We start from the raw sequence: 20,440 nt of genomic DNA, 5'->3' as shown, positions 1-20,440 counted from the left end.
ACTAAAAATACAAAAATTAGCCAGGTGTGGTGGTGTGCACCTATAATCCCAGCTACTTGGGAGGCTGAGGCAGGAGAATTTCTTGAGCCCAGGAGGTGGAGGTTGCAGTGAGCCAAATTGTGCCAGCGCACTTCAGCCTGGGTGGCTTGGTGAGACCCCGCCTCAAAAAAAAAAAATCCCTTAATATGTCATAATAGAATGGTAATTTTGGTCAAAACCATATAAGGCACGTTTTTTTCTGCCTTTCCAGTATGGAGCCAAATACCTCAGCCTCTTAAAATCTGCCTTCAAAAGGAAAAAGGACTTCTAAAATATTTTTCCTGCCCTTTTTTTTTTTTTAATTTAAGATTCATTTTACATCCTGGAAGATATTAAATCTCTACATTGGAAGACACAAAATCAAGTGGCATTTTGGAAGCAAAGCCTCTCTTTCATAACTATATTCTTTGCTTCTAAGTCATGTAATTATGGATGGACGCTTCATTAACTTTTCCACAACACTGTGTCACCCTGAAAGTTCTCTGGCATGTTGTCTGCACAGAGTAGATCCTTTAAGGGTGAGGATGAGAGAAGTTCTAATGAGGTATTAATATCCATTATGTTACAAATGGACTCACTGAAGGTCACCTTTAAATATCCAGTTTACCAAATAAATATTCATGATTATTTTCTCAGAATACAATATGTGACATAAAACAAGACAGACATGCAAACTTCCCATAAAACAGATAATGAAACTTTTATAGGCCACAGTTGACAGTGAGAAGCTTCTGAAAATAGAAGACACAGTTTCCAAGTTGAGTTTGTGCTTTTCATTATTTTCTTTTTCTGTGTAGAAAAATCTATAGCTTATCAAATTAGGCAAACTGCATAGCCTTTTCTATATATGTAATAGTATATGTCTATTATTTTCTATATTTCATAGACTCTTAGTGTAGAATAATTAGCATTCTTGAAAAAATACAGTAATTAAGCACACATTTATTAAGGGCTTTTCTTCAGAAATATTTTCTTTCACCCTGCCAAATGTCCCAAGCTTCAGAGTGAAATGATTTCTTTACAGATGAGTTGTAACTAACTTTCTGCAGAAAAAAAGACTTTAAATGACTGATTATGATCATCACTATTTTGATCTAAAAATTGTTTCTACGAAAACACAGCAAGATTGCAAAAGAATTAATGGCTGGATAGAACAACAAAATTATCTGATCATAAACGTTGAAAAACAAGTTTTCTTCAATGTTGTCATTTATCATGCTGGTGCAATTTAAATAAAACAGATGACATTAAGGGAAAGAAACCCTGCTGAAGAGTGCCACTACTAAATGGAAGGGTTATAAACACCACTGCAATGTAATAGACTGCCTCTGCAGTGATTGCATCTGAATACACTTGTGGCAGCTCCTCTTATTCTCCTTCCAGGGTAGAGAATTTTTTAATGAAAAATGTTGTAAAAGTTAAAGAAAAAAATTAAAAACATTCCCATAACCAAACTGAATTTGCCATGGGGGCGTGGGGTAGGGCTTTATTTTGACTTGTATTAATTTGAGTCATTCTATAAAGGTCAAGGAACACTTTATATAAAGGAAGGAAGAACTAGATTCTGCTTTATTACTCATGGAATTTTGACTAATTGGGAACAATTCTTATTCATAATATATATGTACAATTTCACATTTACAGAAAATAAAGTAACCACTACTAAACAAAAGAACTTACTTGAATGGAGATGAATAGCAATTTAACAAAATAAATTAAATAATAATTGTGTATCAGCAGTAACTATTTGTACCTTGATTTAAGGAAAGAAAGCAAAACATTTTACATTATTTGAGGGCCTTTGGCCTTTGCTTTAATGGGTATGTATTCATTACTCTCTACAAAGAGACTGTGGGTTATAATGTAATTAATCGGCAGCAAAAACACAAATAGTAGGTTGTGAATAAAACATTTTAATTTTTATAAGAAATCATATACATTTCATACATTAGTACAATTTCTATTTTCACAGCTTATCTGGATGTCCTCTCAATGCACAAGTTATCAAAAAGGGCAAGGTTTCTGAAGAACTCATGACCATCAAGCTCAAAGCAACTGGGGGTAAGAGCACAGGGCTGGCTGTCACCACCTCCTGCAGGGTGTAGACCCTGGCTCCCCAAAGCGTTCCGTGTGTCAAAGTATTCTCTAGGTGGGAAGCATAATTTTAATGTACAAGAAGAAAGGTTTCCTCAGATTTGAACTAAAATTATAACTTTGTTTAAAAACCAATTTTTTGGTGTTTTCCTTATTTTTAAATAAGGAGTGATCTCCAACAGAGAAAGTCAGGCAGTGGGGTATGATGGATTAAGATACACTTGTGGTTGGCAGGGCATGCTGGCTCACGCCTGTAATCCCAGCACTTTGGGAGACCAAGGATAGAGGATTGCTTGAGGTCAGGAGTTTGTGACCAGCCTGGGCAACATAGCCAGACCCCATCTCTAAAAAAAAAAAATATTAGCCCAGTGTGGTGGGGCACACCTGTAGTCCCAGTTACTCTGGAAGCTGAGATAGGAGGATTGTAGAGACCAGGAGCCCAGGATCGAGGCTGATGTAGTGAGATATGATAGGGCCACTGCACTCCAGCCTGGACAACTGCGAGAGGCCCTATCTCTAAACAAAACAACAACAACAAAGATACACTAGTGGAAGTTGTGTCCTTCAGTCTCTCTCACGTGTGTGTGTTCTCTTTCTCTCTCGTGTGTGTGTATGTGTGTGTGTGTGTGTACGTGCGCGTTTTTCTGGTATAAATCTGCTATAAAATTTCAGGAAGCAGTTTCTGGCATCTGTATGTGAATCCTTCAATTGTGTTCTTCTGTGCCCAACATGATATTTTTATAGAGATTCTGGAAGGTTTGGACTTAGCATCCAGATCTTTACCTACATCTACATTTCCCTAGATATTTCCTTAGTGTCAATCCCCTCTCCAAGTTCAGAGACACAGTTTCTGAGTTCTCTGTTTGGATCCTCCAATTTTCCTTTGATACTTGAATGCATTTTCTGGAGATTTCTAATGAGCATTATCTGGGGCCTGTGTTGTTTTCCATCAAAGATCGTTCCAAAGCATTTGAGAAACAATGACAGAGCAATTATTTTGCTCTGGAGACTTTATTTGATGGCATCTTTGGCACATGACTAGAATTGAGCTGGGGACTTTCACTGTTGCTACTTTCCCTGAAAGCATTGCTCAATCTTTTTAATTTGTGTGTGTGATTTTTAAAAAGAAGACATGCAGTATCCAAGGGAGGGAAAGCTTCCTACTGTTTCCTTCCAAGGCCTTCATCTGCTGTATTTAAAGCGGTCCTTGTTGGGGATTCTCTCCCTCCATGGGTCCTCACCTCTAAGCGCCAAAGGAGGGGAGTGTACATGCAGAGGAGAAATAAAGCCCTGGCTGCTGGGGACAGGCCTGCCTCTTCCAGTCTTTCCAGCATTCACATGCTCAGTAAAAGAGCTTTTCACTAGATGTTCTGACTGCTCCTTGGAAATACTGCCCATTCCCTAAATACCTCTCAGTACATATGCAGTGAAATTGGGACAATTTAATGTGTATTTATTTATCTCCTTATTTCAAATAGTATTTAAAGGATAAGGACTGCAAAGCTACATGAAATTTTTCTAAAATGCTGGTTAAAAATTTAATTCAGCCAGAAACAGTGGCTCACATCTGTAATCCCAGCACTTTGGGAGGCCGAGGCGGGCAGATCACGAGATCAGGAGATCAAGACCATACTGGCCAACATGGTGAAACCCCATTTCTACTAAAAATACAAAAAAATTAGCCAGTGTGGTGGCACACACCTGTAGTCCGAGCTACTCAGGAGGCTGAGGGAGGGAATTGCTTGAACCCTGGAGGCAGAGGTTGCAGTGAGCCAAAAAAGCACCACCGCACTCCAGCCTGGGCAACAGAGTGAGACTCTGTCTCAAAAAAAAAAAAATTAATTCAAAAATGAGACAAAGGAAAGTCGAAGATAAGAATGCAAGATGGAGCAACCCTGAGGACACTAAGACGTGTGCGAAGAGTCATTTCTTGCTGGGTAAATAAGGATTGCAAATTTGACCTTGCCTTTTAGAAGCCAACACAAAAGAAAGCTATAATCACCGTGTGAATCACGTGGTAGTAAGTAAACTCAGAGCAAAACTCCTTCTGGAACCCAGTGCATGAAGAAAATATTTCTTATGAGTTCTCATTATGAAAACACCACTACCATCCATACTGTAAACAGAATATAAATTACAAGGCCACTCCTAAGAAAGATAAATACAGAACAGTCATCTGGCATTACATCAAATTATGATAGAGCTTTGCAGGGGGCCAGCAGCAGGTGGTCTGTCTGAACCCACAATAGACTTGCACAGAGACCCAGGAACAGCAGGGCTGAGCACATACACTTCAAAGGGTCCCTATATGTCTAGCATCTTCAGCTGAGCTTTCAAAGAATATAGAGCAGCAGCGAGCTGGGTTGAACCCATTGACAAGTGTCAGGGTGCAGTCATTCTATGTGGACAGGTAACTAACTGGAAAAGTACACGTTTTACAATCCAAGAAAGTAGAGGCTGATGCTGTGTAAAGCTTAAGAACCTACAATGACTTTGCATGAGAAAAAGGCCACCTGGATTCAGGTCAGAAGGACCTAAAGTGGTTTGGGGGTCTGCTCTAACAATGCTGTGTTTCATGATCCCTTACCTTAAAGTGTGGCCACAATAATTGTTCTCTGGATGATCTTTAAAGTAGATGTAAACCAACACACCTTCAGACATTAAAAATGTTAAATCAAATTGCAATGAAATACAAAGTGCATATGGCTTTACCTTTAGCATACTATGTTAATTTAAACTACGTACAAATCATTCATGTAATTAGCTGAATTAGATAATATTTTAGGGGAATATTATGTACAAACCATTTCAAACATGGAAGGTCTATATCAAAAAATGTGTACATTAATTTTAGAATAATTGATCTTTAGTTCTCCATCCTTGCCATAATTAAATTGCCACATTAATTTTTAAAGACCTTTACTAGTCCTTGATAATAAAATTAGGCCATCTGTATAAGAAAGAATGCCAGTCCTTCTGTGCTTTGTAGAAACAAGCAGAAGTTATGATAATTGATCTATGTATATGGTCTTGCATTTAGGAGCTCCTTCTAGCTCTTCTCATGTGACAAAATAGTGTGTCCTAAATATAGTTATATATAATTTATTTCTAGATATTAACTCTCCTCACTCCTTTAGTAACTAAATAGCCAAATTTACATTAACTCATTTTCCCCTAAATAAAAAAAAATAGTACAATTTTGGTACGTAAACTCAATTTAAAAATAAAAGTTCGGCCGGGCACGGTGGCTCATGCCTTAATCCCAGAACTTTGGGAGGCCGAGAAGGGTGGATCACGAGGTCAGGAGTTCAAGACTAGCCTGGCCAACATGTTGAAACCCCATCTCTAATAAAAATACAAAAAAAAACATTAGCTGAGTGTGGTGGCAGGCTCCTGTAATCCCAGCTACTCAGGAGGCTGAGGCAGGAGAATCGCTTGAACTCAGAGGGCACAGGTTGCAGTGAGCCAAGATCGTGCCACTGCACTCCAGCCTGGGTGACAGAGTGAGACTCCATCTAAAAAATAAATAAATAAATAAATAAATAATAGAAGTTCACTCAAGAAATATAATAGAATTTGTTTGAAATATAATAGAATTGCTTCATTTGTATAATATGAAAAAACATAACTATAGTACTTAAAGCCTCATAAGTTGAGAATACTTGCTCTATACAAGTATATACATAGCTTGCATAATTATACAGAATACAAAGAAAATATAATATATAATCCCCAAATATGCAAATTAGGCACAGATTAGTACCAAATAAATATTAGAATTATTAAATGAAAAGAAAGCATAATCTATTGCTTTTACATAAATGGATTATATAAAGAATCAAAGTCACTGAACAGTTAAGTAAAATATTTAGTGGAGGCTAGGCGCAGTGTCTCATGCTTATAATCCCAGCACTTTGGGAGGCAAGGAAGGCGGATCAGCAGGTCAAGAGATTGAGACCATCCTGACCAACATGGTGAAACTCTGTCTTTACTAAAAATAAAAAAATTAGCTGGGCATGGTGGCGTACGCCTGTAGTCTCAGCTACTCAGGAGGCTGAGGCAGGAGAATCGCTTGAACCTGGGAGGCAGAGGTTGCAGTGAGCAGAGATTGCACTCCTGTACTGCAGCCTGGTGACAGAGTGAGACTCTGACTCAAAAAATAATAATAATAATAATTTAGTGGATAGTTTATACGGTTTCCTTGATAATCAGCAATACCTAGCTAGTCCAACACTCTACTAGAAGTATGTCTGTAAACATCAGGGCACACCTTTTACTGATACTTCCAAAACAGATGAAACATCTATGAATAAAGATAGTATTTTCATGGTTAAAAGAACATATTCTGGAACCAGAGAGCTTATATTTGAATTCCCGCTGTACCACTTACTTTGTAACTTGGCTTCCCATCCATACTTTGAGGTAATAAATGTTTCTACCTCATGGTTTTTAAATGAGGATCATACGAGTTAATATTTGGAAGTGCAGAGTGAAATCCAAAGGTTCTTAGAGACTGTGTGCATGGAAAGAAGTTTGGCAGATGAGCGACTCTGTGGAAACAGATAAAGTGATATGTTAACAGGAAACATTACAAAGAAATTAGTTGAATTTGATCCTGTGGCTAAAATAGCACCCCAGATCCCAGAAATTATAATAAAAACATTAGTTCCTTCACTGATTAATTCTCTGAGCATGTAAAGGGAGCCTGTTACGTATTAGATCCCATGACAATGTTTCCTTTTTGAGATCTCATCTTATGATCTTCCCTCACAAGCTCCAGCCATCTTTTGTTATTAGGCATCTTCCAAACAGCCCCATCTTGATTAAGAGGCTGGGGTGTCTTCAGGAACATTGGCCCTCAGCGAAACATAATCCTAACGAAATCCCAGAACCAAGAACTCAGGCTGTCACTTAAACAGTCTTCTCACAAGCACTCATAACTTAGCCAAAATTGAACTTTTACTTATCCTACTACAAGTTTCAGCCTCCCAGTCTGCCTCATCACAGAGACAGCTCTACAGTTACCCACCTGCTCTGGCAGAAACAAGCAGTCAGGGTTGATTCCTCTCTTCTCCGTCGATTCCTCTCTTCTCTCACCCCCTACCTCTAGCCCTCACAAGTCCTGCAAATTCTGCCTGCAGATTAGATCCTGAGTCTGTCTCCTTCTCTTGACCTCACTTCCCTACACCCAGCCAGGACTCCAGCAATCATCTCCTCATGGGTCTCCTCGCTTCTGCTCTGTCTCTTCTCCAATCTATCCGCTACTCAAAACTCCAAATTATGTTTGTGAAAATTCAGCTCAATCACCCCAGCTCTCCTACCTACAGCCCTTCCCTGGCTCCTGTTGCACTTGGAATAAACCTAAGCTCCCAGGATGTCCCCATGGCCTGCTCCCATCATTCACTTTCTTGCTGTCCATGGGGCACTCACTCCCTTCCCAGCCTGGGCTCTGGGCTTCCTTCCTCCTCTTGGATGCTCAGCTGCTGGCTGGTTTTTCACAGGCCTGCCTCCTTCTGATCTTGAAAGTCTTGAAAGGAGTGCATCTTCTCCAGTGAAGGGCCTCCCAGAACCCTTTGTGCTTCCTTCAGAACACTTCATGTTTTACAAGCATCTCCTTGGTTTTTGTCTGCCTCACCAGATATTATGTAAGAAAATAACATTCTTTGAGGTGGAATTTTACTATAAAAAGACAGAAAAGAAAAACAATATGTCAAAGAAATTTATAACAATAGAAGTTTTCGATAGCTCAAATCAGAAAAATTTCAAGTGCTGATAGCACTCCAAATACCTGTTTCATTGAGAATCCAGGTATTTCAGTCCTTTCTTCCCCAGCTCTTACCCATCAGTTGTCTGAGAGGAGATCCCTGTACCTGCACACCAACCAGTAAAATACGGGGCTCCAAGATGCAGTACAATTCTCCAGACACAGCTGGCCAGTGCAGAATGAATCCTGAGTCCCAGATACTATAGTTCCATGAGTATGGTCCTGGGTAACTGTTGGTTGTTTTCTTAGTAGCCATGTCATACTGATGACTCATATTTAAACTGGTCTAACTACTAAGGTACCTAAGTCTTATATGTTGGTTTGTTTTCCTTTTTTCATTAAATCTTAGAGCCCAGAGTTATATCAATCTTATGACACACTCTCTTCATTGGTCCATGCATGGCTCACTTTATTCAGTAGTTACTTTTAATAAAGCAGTAAGTACCCACAGAATAGCCATCTGTTTTATCATGCTGTATGTGATGTAACTTTCGGCTTACTTTTTTTCTCTTCGCACTAAATTACTAAGAATCTCCCGTGTTGTTTTTGGTGGGCATGTGGTTTCCTTTCAAGTTGTGCTTTTGGCGAGCAACACTGCTGTGTACACCTTATGCATGCTTCCTGTGTGCAACCATTTGTTTTGGGTGTGTACCTAAGGAAGAAATTGTAGGGTCATAGAGAATGTGAGCATCCACCTTCAGGAGGTAATGGATTATTTCCCAAAGTAGTCACCCTAGGAAAGTATAAGAGCCCAGATCTCTTTCAAACCAATTGTCAAGCCAAGTACCCTTTATCCTTCTCTCATGAAATTGCTCCTATGAAGTCTCTACGTGGAAGTTCACATGTCCTTCTTCATTGTCACCCTGGTTCAGATTCATTCTTCTAGGAGGTAAATTACCTCCAATCCTGCTTCCCGCACCCTTAATATTAACTACCTTCCCCAGGTCCTTGAAACCTTTCAAATGTAGTCATACTCCTTCTACAAAGTAATCATGGGAAATAACCCCCATTCACTGAGAGCCTGTGGCATGTTTAGCGCTCTACATTTTATTGCATTCATTCTCACAGTGTAGATAACATGCCTATTTTACAGAAGAGGATACTGAAGCACAAAGAAGATAAGTAAGTTGCCCAAGTTGCAGAACAGGAGTCAAACTCCCAAGCTGATGTCCTTCCCCCTAAATTACATTTTCCTCATCCATGTCCACGTGGAAGACTATGCCAATGTGTTTCTGGACACTAATTCACCTGCCAGCAGCCCCGCAGCTCTGCCTCCCATCATGGGTCCTAAGGTCTAATTCAACTAAACAGATATTTAATTACTCAGCATAAAACTGTCCTTGGAGCATTTTGAATAAGAGAATGCAAGGGCTTTGAGGTTTAATCCCAGCTCTGCCTCTTAATTTGAACTTGGGCAGGTTATTTAACTTCTGTCAGTGATTCTTGGGGTCTCATTTAACCTCTCTGGGCTCGGTGTCTTCATATGTGAGGAGGGTATAATGGAGCGTGTCCCACTGTAGGGTGTGGTAAGATGTAATTGAAGGCATATTTACAAATGGGTCTGGCAGCACCCCTGGGACATAACTGAGCTACATGCAAGGGTGGCACTTTTCTACTCCCTCTTTTCTTTCTTACCAATAAATTAAATCTGTAACTTCTCTTATCCACTTTTTCAGAATCCTAGATATGCATTGTTTTGGTAAAAACACTAAATGAAAGTCTCATTTTCAAGTAGCAAATCACAAATTAAACATATAATGACTCATTTGTTAACAGTTTTCAGTTTGAACTAAGGTAGTCTTACTCTTTACAGGAATAGAGAGTGATGAAGAAATTAGGCATTTGGATGAAGAAATAAAGGAACTGAATGAATCCAACCTTAAAATTGAAGCAGATATGATGAAACTTCAGACCCAGGTAAAAAAAAGAAGTAATTCATGATCCTTAATGTAATCATAATCTTTGGTGGAAACAAAACATTGAAATTTTAAAACTTGTGTGAAAATATATGGTAACTTAGAGTCAATATGCTGAGTGTTTCTAGATTCCATAATTATTGTAAAATTCTGAATAGGTGGATCATCCCAGGTTACCATTTATTCAGTAGCTCTGGGCAAGCTTTCTCATGTTTTTGCCCTGGTGGCATCGAAGTTTTTATAAGCAAACAAGGCAGATCATCCTATAACCCAAGAGTCTCTGGTGCATTAGAAAAAAAATGTGATGGAAAGGTAAGAATCCTTGGTTTTATTCAAAATTCAAGTAAAATATAGCAACTTTTTGTTTAATGTTTTTGGAACACCTCTGAATGTGTAAGTATTTATTAGAAACAGATCTTACTGAATATTTTCTTGAGCAAATTCTTTACCTAAAAGCCCAAGCAATTTCTCAATTCTGCATTCTTCTTTGTGATGTCTGCCTCATCTCCTGGAAATCAACAGTTCAGTCCAAGATTTTTAAAACATGAATCATAACTCTCTTGCAACAAGTTAGCAGCAAAAGAATGAGACAGAGCATACGACTGTCTTTCTCCCCTTCCCTTCTCTCCTCTTCTGAAATGCAGGATTTTTATGCCACCATGGTTACTGGATCTCTTGGAAGTCCTCACACAACAGCTTAAGACAAAGGGTTTTAATCCATCTGAAATTTAGGTTTCCTTACCCAGAGTGACCATTGTTGCCATCATCAATTTAATGGCCATCTGGTCCACAGATTGATACTTTTGTCTAGAAATCATGGGAATTCCTCTAGAAAACCATTAGCAAAGAACACAAAGCCCTCTGCCCTCCTGAGACTTATAGTCTAGAAGGAGGAAGCAGACAATAAACAAAAAAGTCATAAATGATCAATGGTGTTGTATGCTAGAATGGCAGGGGGCTGGGCGAGTGGCTGTATTTCAATACTAAATAGGACCACCAGCCCCCAGGAAGAAGAAAGCCATCCACAAAGACTTGAGGAATGAGGGAGTTAGCCAAACAAGTATGGAGAAAGAGTGTTTCAGACAGAAGAAACCCTGCAAGCGCAAAAGTGCTCATCATGAGAAGGCCTGGGGATTTCAGAAATAGCAAAGGGAAGTGTGGCCGCAGGTGAGTGAGCTGGGTGGGGCAGGTCACAGGAGAACAGTCTCAGAGACAACAAGGCAGCTCACACGGGGCATCTTAGGCCATTTTAAAGACCTTGGTTTTTATTCTGAATGTGTGCAGAACTGTAGCACAGTTTTGAGCTAACGAGTAACATAATCCCATCTGATTGACATGCTGACTTGCATTTTAACAGGCTCATCTTGGTGGCTGTGTTGAGGAAAGGCCAAAAAGAGATTAGATGGGGTAATGGCAAACACAAGGCCACCCACGAGAAGGTAGCACAGTCACACTGGTGGCTGGGCCCAGGGGGCAGCAGAGTGGAGGGGACAGTGGTCCCATCCTGGATATTTTGAAGGAGGAGCCAGTGGAGGTGAGGTATGAAAGAAAGAGCCATGGGGGGTCTGCACTACAGTTGAGTTGCTGCTGACTGGAAAAGGGAGACAGCGGATGGAGCAAGTTTGGGGAAAATAGCAAAGTTTACTTTAAACATGTTGAGTTTGAGATATCCATCATACAGCCATGTGGAGAAGTTCTACAATTCATGAGGAAGTCTGGGCTGAAGATGAAAATTTGGGGATTTGATTCCAGCACTTCAAACAATCCAGTGGGGCTGCAGCTTCATGCTGAGAAGTTACACGCATGCATCTCTGCATCTCTTAGTATTCAGATGCACTTGGTGCATTTTCCTTCAGGGAGAAACCTTTTACACTCCTTCCAAACTCCACTACTCACATTCCCAAGTTATTTCTGTTGTAGATCACATCTATGGAGAGCAACTTAAAGACGATAGAGGAGGAGAACAAACTCATAGAACAGAACAATGAAAGTCTGCTGAAAGAGCTGGCAGGTCTAAGCCAAGCTCTCATTTCAAGCCTTGCTGACATCCAGCTTCCACAGATGGTAAGTTCAAGGCCAGAACCTTGCCATTCCATTACAAGCATTTGCAGTGTCATCATGCATCTACCCACGGGGTTGCCACGACTGAGCTTTGAGGAGACCTGTGAGCAGTCACAGAGTGACCACACTTCATCACAGTCTGGCTTGGAGTAATCTCCCTCTCTGGGAACATGGTAGATACATTTATTTAAATTATATGAAGGCCAAGAATTTTTTAGAGGCCAAAGTCATTTAAAAACAAAGGATTTTTTAAAGCTCGGTTCACAATGTCATGTGAAAGTTGAAGGGCAAAACTCCCTCAGTGAAAATGTATTTCCAAGTAGAAGATTCCATGTCTTACAAAATTTGAGACCATTATTTGCATCATCCGCCCAAATCAGGAACTGTAACCAAAAATGTTCAATTCCCAATGGACTAGGTGCTTTCTTCATATGGAAGTATGAAGAACGTACTTCAGTTCTCCTCATATAAAATAAAAAGCAAAAAAAAATGAACAAGGAATCCTCATTTTCAAAATCTAAGCATGTATTTTAGGTATGCAACTATAGTCCTCTATCACCTAGTAATGGGCACACGTTCTAAGAAATGTGTCCTTAGGCAATTTTGATGTTGTGTGAACATCATACAGTGAACTTTCGCAAACCCAGATGACAGACCCTACTTTACTTACTTTGCACCCAGGCTATATGGTACAGCCTACTGCTCTGAGGTTACCCACCTGTGCAGCATGTTAGTGTACTGAATACTTTAGGCAATTATTAGTATTTGTGTATCTAAACATGGAAAAACATATCTAAACCATAAAAACATGCTATTGTTATCTTATGGGACTATCATCATATATTCAGTCTATCATTGACTGAGATGTTGTTATGCATTGCATGACTGTATTTGGAATTCATAGAAAATTAACTTCTTTTACATATTCTTAAATACAGACAAATCTTTGGAGGAGAGACTACATTGCTAAATGCTTTTAATTTCCTCAGAACCTAAATTTTTAGAATAATTTTTCCAAAGATGCCTATTTTATATATGAAATTATTTATAGAAGCAGCAATGTGATAAAGAAATGTAATTGGTTTTGGTTAAAACATTAAGCCCCTCCATTTTACCCAAGTTCCTAGCATGGAGTTCTTATCTTAACCGATTCCAAATATGTTTCTTGACTCCCACCAGCCAAAAAATCAATAATGTAATAATGAACACAAAGCAAAATAAATGATACCACTATGGTAAGGATTAAGGTAATTATTAAAAATCATTGCAATGTTATTTATGAATGTTGCGTAAATCATACTTTGAATATGCATTCCTTAGTATTTTCTTCTTCACCACTGCCATAAAAAACAGGTACCACACAAGTTAACCTGTGCCTTGTATACTCACCACACAGGGCACTCTAGTGGTGATTTTTAGTGCTGATCACACAAAATGTTACGAAAGCACCAAAGAGCGAGCATTAGTATTCCCATTCCATAGTTGAGGAAATCAGGGCTCGGAGAGCTTACTTAATTTGATCAAGTTTCCAGAGCTAACACAAGGCAAGTGGGCCCGGCCCTGCAGAGTGGCCTTTACCCACTGTGCTACCTGGGTTCCCATCCAATCCCCTGACTCTCCAAGAAACACAAGGCACAACAAAGGCAGGAAAGAGAAGGGGACAGAGAATCATGATTGGACAATACTAATAATTTAGATCAGCGCTTTGCCGAGCAGAGCACAACAAATAGCTTCAAATTTAGAAAGCTTATTTCCTTAAATAGCAACAATAACAGTACTTTGACATTTAAATGTCCTTTCTTCCAAGCACCTTTGCGAAGTAAGTCTCACGTCATGTGTTTTTAAAAAGGAGGGAAAATGGTGGCAACAGAAATGACTGAGTAGCATTCCCCTTGTGACATTCATTCCGTTTCACATTTGTGTGAAATTTACATGTATCCAGCATGTGCTCTCCTTGAAGCATCACACTGGGTAAAGGAGAGACCAAAACATACAAAAAGAACAGGGAGGCCAAGCATGGTGGCTCACACCTGTAATCCCAGCACTTTGGGAGGCCGAAGCGGGTGGGTCACCTGAGGTCAAGTGTTTGAGACCAGCCTGGCCAACATGGTGAAATTCCATCTCTAATAAAAATACAAAAATTAGCTGGGAGTGGTGGTGCACTCCTGTAATCCCAGCTACTTGGGGGGCTGAGGCAGGAGAATCGCTTGAACCTGGGAGGCAGAGGTTGCAGTGAGGTGAGATCACATCACTGCACTCCAGCCAGGACAATAGAGCGAGACTCTGACTCCAAAAAAAAAAAAAAAAAAAAAAAAAAAAAAAACACGGTATGAATAAATTTAAACTTTGTGAAACTGATATTCTGCTTACAGAGACTGAGAAATTTTTAAAAGTATATTGCAATGATGCCACAGGAGAGAAACAGGCTAAAAGGATCTGAGGATGGAGGAGGAAAATTTTCCATCACAACTGTTACTGAGCAACTCGCTCAAATCTTAAATTCTTTAAGTTTCTGCCCAGTGCTGTTAAGGGCACCACTTAGTACAAGCAACCCTTCCTTCCCAGCCTCACAAATATTCACCTTCCACAAACAGGAGGCATATGTAGTGCAAGGCATGTGCAGTCAAGGCTGAGGCTGCCTCCCAAGAGAAGTAGAAAAGTTTTGTGGAGTCCGAGTCCATAGCCAGACATATACTTTATGTGCTCCAAATCAACCCCAAATACTGTACAAGCCAGTCATATTCGTCTCCTGAATTAAGAGTGAACAGATGAATCCCACACACACTCCGTCTCTCTCCATCCCCTGCAACCCCAGCAGTCATATGCACCCTTGCCTTCCCTCCCGACTCCCGGATCACTGATCTTCGATGTCACTGGGTCCTTCTTTTCCCTCAGCCTGAACCACTGTGATTGGGTCAATGTGTTTTGTCTCCATTTAGGGACCTATCAGTGAGCAGAATTTTGAAGCATATGTAAATACACTCACAGATATGTACAGCAATCTGGAACGGGACTATTCCCCGGAATGCAAAGCTCTACTGGAAAGTATCAAACAGGCAGTGAAGGGTATCCATGTGTAGGATCACAGCGCTGCCGGGCAACAGAAGTTACCAACAGCAGTAAACTCCAGATGGATCTGTTAGAGGTTCATGTACTGCTAAGGCGTGGAGGTTGCCGTACTGCATTTACAATTTGCAACATTGCACTAATTTTATTTTCCCCAGCTGATATAAAAAGGAAAGAAAAACTATGATAGACTTCTTGGATTAAAAGCAATGCAGTCAATTATTAGATCTTATTTATTTTCATATGTTTTTCTTTTATTTCTTCATTGTACTCTTTTTTTTTTTGTAAAGTATATGTAAAATAAATGTGACATTTTTATAATTTATTTATTACTAATCAAAGAGTTTTTTATCTTTTAACTGCATTTTGAAGTCTGCCGTATTTTTACAAGTGTGTTTATTAATTTATTTTCCAATAGGATTTAAATAGAAATGCTATTCTCAAGTCATCTTTCTTGCTGGGTTTTAATGAGGAAACAGGAAAGGGTGAAGGAAATCCTTGTCTAAGGACTGCACTATAGTTGAGTTTGATTTTTATTGCACACTTCTTCCCCCACCTTTCACTGATTTTTGTATTTATAAATGAATTTGCGGTAAGGTGAGCTGCACGGAAGGAATAAGAAGACAAATGGCGCCCACTAGTGGGGAATCCGCACTCACAAAAGCACAGGATGCTGGAAAACAGCCTGCTCAGAATTTGTTAGCAATAATTAAATATAGCAATCAGCAAAGTATTCGACTTGGCTGGACGGTTTTCGTTAATATGAATTATTTATTTGAAATGTTTTAAAGAAACATAAGCCTTTTTAGTGATGCAGATTTGTCTGTTTGTTTTTCAAGTCATATCAGATCGTTGGCAACTCGTATCCCAAGATGAAAAATAAGACTTGGTGTGACCAGCCAGGCTTTCCTGCCATATGTTGGTACAATATACAAGTGACAATATTGGTGTAGATTTGTACTTAGCAAATACAAACACATCCAAATGAAAAATTTTGTAGATACCATATCCCCTGAAATAGCATTTATCTTACTGGGTTGACTGGAAAGGAATGGAAAATATAGTAACACATGAAAAAATGCTACTCCAATCTGAATGATTACTTCAAACACTGGCACCTTGGGTCTCACCCACCATAGGAAACAAGACAACATTCAATTTGATAGAAATCTTGCCACAAAACTTCAAATGCTACAAAATATACACACACACTCACACACACAGGCATACTCACACACAGACACACACACACACACACACACAGACTCATCCACACTTCAAATTGAGCCCACAATCTTGAATTTCTGAACGGATCAGAGTTTCATAGTTTCTATAGTAAAGGCAATGTCTATTTCAGGGATTGTAAAGTAGTTAAGCATTGTTTCAAAAGTTTTTTTATATTTATTTTTTTTAAGGAAAAGGTATAGACAACCAGCTAAACTGCCTTTTTGGTGTGCACACACATTTCATGTGCAGACGTGCCTCTGTGTAAATGTACACATGAACTTCATGTGGGCTTAATTTTCTGTGCTATAAACAAAAGTGTTTATTTTTTATTAACCTCATGGATATTTAGATGGAAAGTGATGGCATTCACAGGCTTGATGTATTCCACTGTTATTACTGTTACCTGCACAAATGAAAAACAATACTCAACAGTAATTCCACTCCCATGAAACTTTGGTCATTGTTATGCATTAAGTGGGGCTTATCTTTGGTTTGGAGTTCATTTGAACTCTTGAACCTTAGTTTAGTGAAGATGAACTGTCTGTTCTTAGGTAGAAACGGTGTTTATTTAAAAATCAGTTTTAAAAAATGAGCTACCATATGTGCTGTCTATTATAAATGGGACACCAAACAAAATTTTCTATTACAGTTGTGTACTTGCAAACATTTTGCTATACAGTACTTCATAGATGCATACAAATGAGCTCACTTATTACAAAGACAAACGTTTAATTTGCTAAATATTTTAACAAGTTTGTTATATATTTTATTTAATTTAAAAGAAATCTCTTACCAACCTACATATTTATTACTATAATTTGCTATGACTTCAGGTTAATTTATTTGTGTTTGCATAGTTTGAGCAGGATGTTTTGTGAAGTATGTTTGTATTTATTTGCCTACTTTGTACTTGATGTGTTTTGTAATGTGCACTGAATTTGTTTTCTTTTCAACTATGTTAATGATCAATACTGTAAATTGGGTCTTTTGTAAACAAAAAGGCAATGATGTATGCATTTTTTTTAATTTGAGGTAGTTTGTTTGTATACTGTTTCTCCAAACACTTAATATTTCTTACATCAAAGCAACAAAATTGTGTTCAGTGCTGTACATTTGGTGTATGGTAGGAAATAAAAATTGATAACGAGTTTTGATGTGATCTTTCTCAGGCTGTTATCTGGAGACTAGTATCCCCTTCCCATGGAATCCACTGTCCAGAACGAGCCCTGGTGAGGTCCCCAGAGTGCACTTGAGCCTGCCAGTCATTCGGAGACATTTCTGTTCTGACAGCCGGTTTGCTTGCCTTAAAGTGGACAGGACTTTTGGCCAGTTGACAAGCTGTCACTGCCTTTGATGTGGCATTCACCTCCAGAACAGGGAATGCTTTGACATAAGGAACACCTTTGCTAGCAGTAGCAGCAAATTCACTCAGATCTAATAAGTGGCAAGATAGAGGGCCCACCCTCCTGATTCCAAAATTACTTTGGATACGGAGTATATCTCTAGATTCATATAAGCTAAAATTAAAGAAACTTGAATTAAAGAAAAACAATAATAAATTACTGATAGCACCTCTTCTGCTTATGTGTTCTTTCTATCTAATGTCAAATAGTCAGCCTAATTTAATTTTTCAGTTTCTGTCCAGATTCATACATCTCTAGAATAAGTTTCCACTTACATTTGATCTGGTTAAAAAAAAATCTATTTAACCCATGTAATGAAGCCAAATTGACCGAAGGGAAGTCTGGGTCCAAAGAGGAAAGCCAGAGTTGTACTTGGGAGACCTTCATTTACCAGGAGCCAAAACATAACCATTAATGCACAATATAGCTTTCATTTAGTCACCACACTCACGTGTTGAAGATGCGCATAAAATGGATCACAAAATGCAAATCTGCTCAGTCAGGCTCTTAGCTTACCCTTAGCCAAGGATGTGCATCTTGCCCTGATTGGGACTTTTTTTTTTTTTTTTTTTTTTTTGAGGTAGAGTTTCGCTCTTGTTGCCCGGGATGGAGTGTGGTGGAGCAATCTCGGCTCACTGCAAACTCCGCCTCCCGGGTTCAAGCAATTCTCCTGCCTCAGGCTCCCAAGTAGCTGGGATTACAGGCATGCACCACCACACCAGGCTAATTTTTTGTATTTAGTATAGATGGGGTTTCACCATCTTGGTCAGGCTGGTCTCGAACTCCTGACCTCAGATGATCCACCCACCTCAGCCTCCCAAAGTGCTGGGATTACAGGCGTGAGCCACCACGCCCGGCCTCTGATTGGGATTTTATACCAACGAGTAGTGTCTACAACTCTGTCAACAAGGCGTCATAAGAAGAGCACCAGTCTTACCGGAAATGGTGAGTAAGAGTCATCCATTCATCAAAAAGATGTTTACTTGGAACACGATTATGCCGGGCCCACTTCCTTACTCCCATGGGAGTTCAGCCTCGTGGGAGACAATGAAATAAGTGATAGGTATTTCAGTTTGGGTACACACAGGCTCCTGTGGAAACCATGTGAGGGTTACCTAACAAACCTGGATTTCCAGGAAGAATCCTGCTTCTGATTCAGCAGGGAAAGTTTGAGAAAAGGTGCTGCAGGCAGTGACAACAGCATGTGCAAAAGTATGGCAATCATCAAGGCAGCAGCTTCACGTATTTAAAACATTGAAAAATTGGTGAGAAGTGAGAAGATGAGAGGCCAAAGCCCAGATGAGTGGGAAGAAGAGGAGGTCATATCGTAGACTGGCATGCTAAAGAGTTCTAATTTCCACAGACTTCAGCATGTGAAAGAAAAATTTTAAATCAGAGAATGACAAGATCAGATTTCACTTCAGATAATTTGTTCCAGCAATTCAGATGATTAACATTTCATACATCAGGGCAAGAAAATTGTGTTCAGTGCTGTGTATGTGGGGTATGGTACAAATAAAAACTGGTAACGAGTGTTCCCGAGATCATTTTCAGGCCAGTGTATAGAGACTATCGTTACCATCCCAAGAAAAGTCCTGGGGCCTTCAGACACAGGACTAAAACCCTTCTACTGGAACCAAGGACCTGAATAAAAAGAAGGGGGTGAATAATTATTTGATTTTCCCCATTAGAAAAAGTTTTAAAAATTAACTTGTTATGGTACATAAATATTTTATTAATATTTGTAAAAACTAATGTTTTCTACATCTCTTTCCACACATTACATTCATTTTATTGTGGTCTGGGAAAAGTGCCCTGCTATTTCCTCTCATTATTCAGCAGATAATTATAAAGTAAGCAGATTTAATTGGCTAATAACTATCCACGCTGTCAGACACAATCAATGATGTTTTGTATACTTCATCTGACAAAATGTATCAAGCAAATATCGCCATGCACAATTAAACTGATGAGGAAACTGGTGTTTAGCAAAGTTAGTAACTTGCTCAAGACCGTAAAACTAGGAAACAGTGCAGCCAGGATTCCACCCCAGATGTGCTTGATTAAAGCAAGGCAAGCCCCTTCTCACTATTTTTACAAAAACAATTCTATTGTGGATAGTCCTTCTCTAATGAGGACAATAGCAGGACTAACTGACTCACCCATTTAGAAACAATTGAGCCTCGTGTGGACCTCTCAACCTAGGTGCTCCAACCAACATGATCTATCTCATCACCTGTCAGATGTAGTCTCATCTGGAGGAAAAAAATAAGAATGAGGTAAGATTAAGATACATGCCAGGATCCAGACATATTCCAATATTCCTCAATCTTAACACTACGATAATGAGTACATCCCTGAATTCCCTCTTGTAAGCTTCATGGCCACACTGCAACAGAATTATTATGATCAGCATTATACTAAGAGACAACCAAGGGTTAGAGAGAGTGAACTCTAATCATTGTTTGATGCCCCAGAGATAAGTAGCAGGGTCAGTATTCAACTCAACTCTGACCCAGAGGCAAGCTCCTGTCCCTTCTGCAGGCCGCCACGACTGCATTTAGCCATACTTGCTGTGCTGGCCAGCACCTTACCAGCCTCTGTGCACAGTCATTCAGCAAGAAACAGTTAAGACACATGCCAGGGCCCATTCCAGGAAAAGTTGTTCAAAGAAGCATCATTTTCACATTTACACCACACTTTATGATGTATTTTTCTTGCAAAAGCATATCATAAAAATGTGACATCCTAATAATGTATTTGATGAATTGGGATTGAAAAATCTTAATATTGGTTATAATAAATAGCCAAAAATAAGAAAAATGCAAATCCCTCTTTTTTTACTGTTTTTAGAGCAAAACAATATAATT

The 20,440-nt window shown here is 39.2% G+C and overlaps 1 protein-coding gene and 1 long non-coding RNA gene across 62 annotated transcripts in view; one reads left to right on the top strand and one right to left on the bottom strand.

Annotated features, from left to right (window-relative positions):
* Window positions 1-17,314, top strand: part of ST18 (ST18 C2H2C-type zinc finger transcription factor) — a 299,042-nt gene extending 281,728 nt beyond the window's left edge. For all 61 annotated transcript variants that reach the window (NM_001352871.2, NM_001352836.2, NM_001352872.2 and 58 more), the window contains 4 exons: window positions 2,012-2,100; window positions 9,711-9,814; window positions 11,734-11,877; window positions 14,814-17,314. In NM_001352871.2, coding sequence (NP_001339800.1) covers window positions 2,012-2,100; window positions 9,711-9,814; window positions 11,734-11,877; window positions 14,814-14,954 — 478 coding nt within the window. In that variant the 3' untranslated portion in view covers window positions 14,955-17,314. The remainder of the gene's footprint in view (window positions 1-2,011; window positions 2,101-9,710; window positions 9,815-11,733; window positions 11,878-14,813) is intronic.
* Window positions 1,933-7,841, bottom strand: LOC124901945 (uncharacterized). Its single transcript, XR_007060911.1, has 2 exons — window positions 7,163-7,841; window positions 1,933-6,683 (listed from the first exon to the last, which is right to left on the bottom strand). It is a non-coding gene; the product is annotated as an uncharacterized LOC124901945 (long non-coding RNA).
* Window positions 17,315-20,440: the final 3,126 nt, after the last annotated feature.

The sequence above is a fragment of the Homo sapiens genome, chromosome 8, assembly GCF_000001405.40.
Source record: "Homo sapiens chromosome 8, GRCh38.p14 Primary Assembly".
Taxonomy (NCBI): Eukaryota; Metazoa; Chordata; class Mammalia; order Primates; family Hominidae; genus Homo; species Homo sapiens.
The sequence above is the reverse complement of the archived record's forward strand: the minus strand, read 5'-3'. Positions and strand labels throughout refer to the sequence as shown.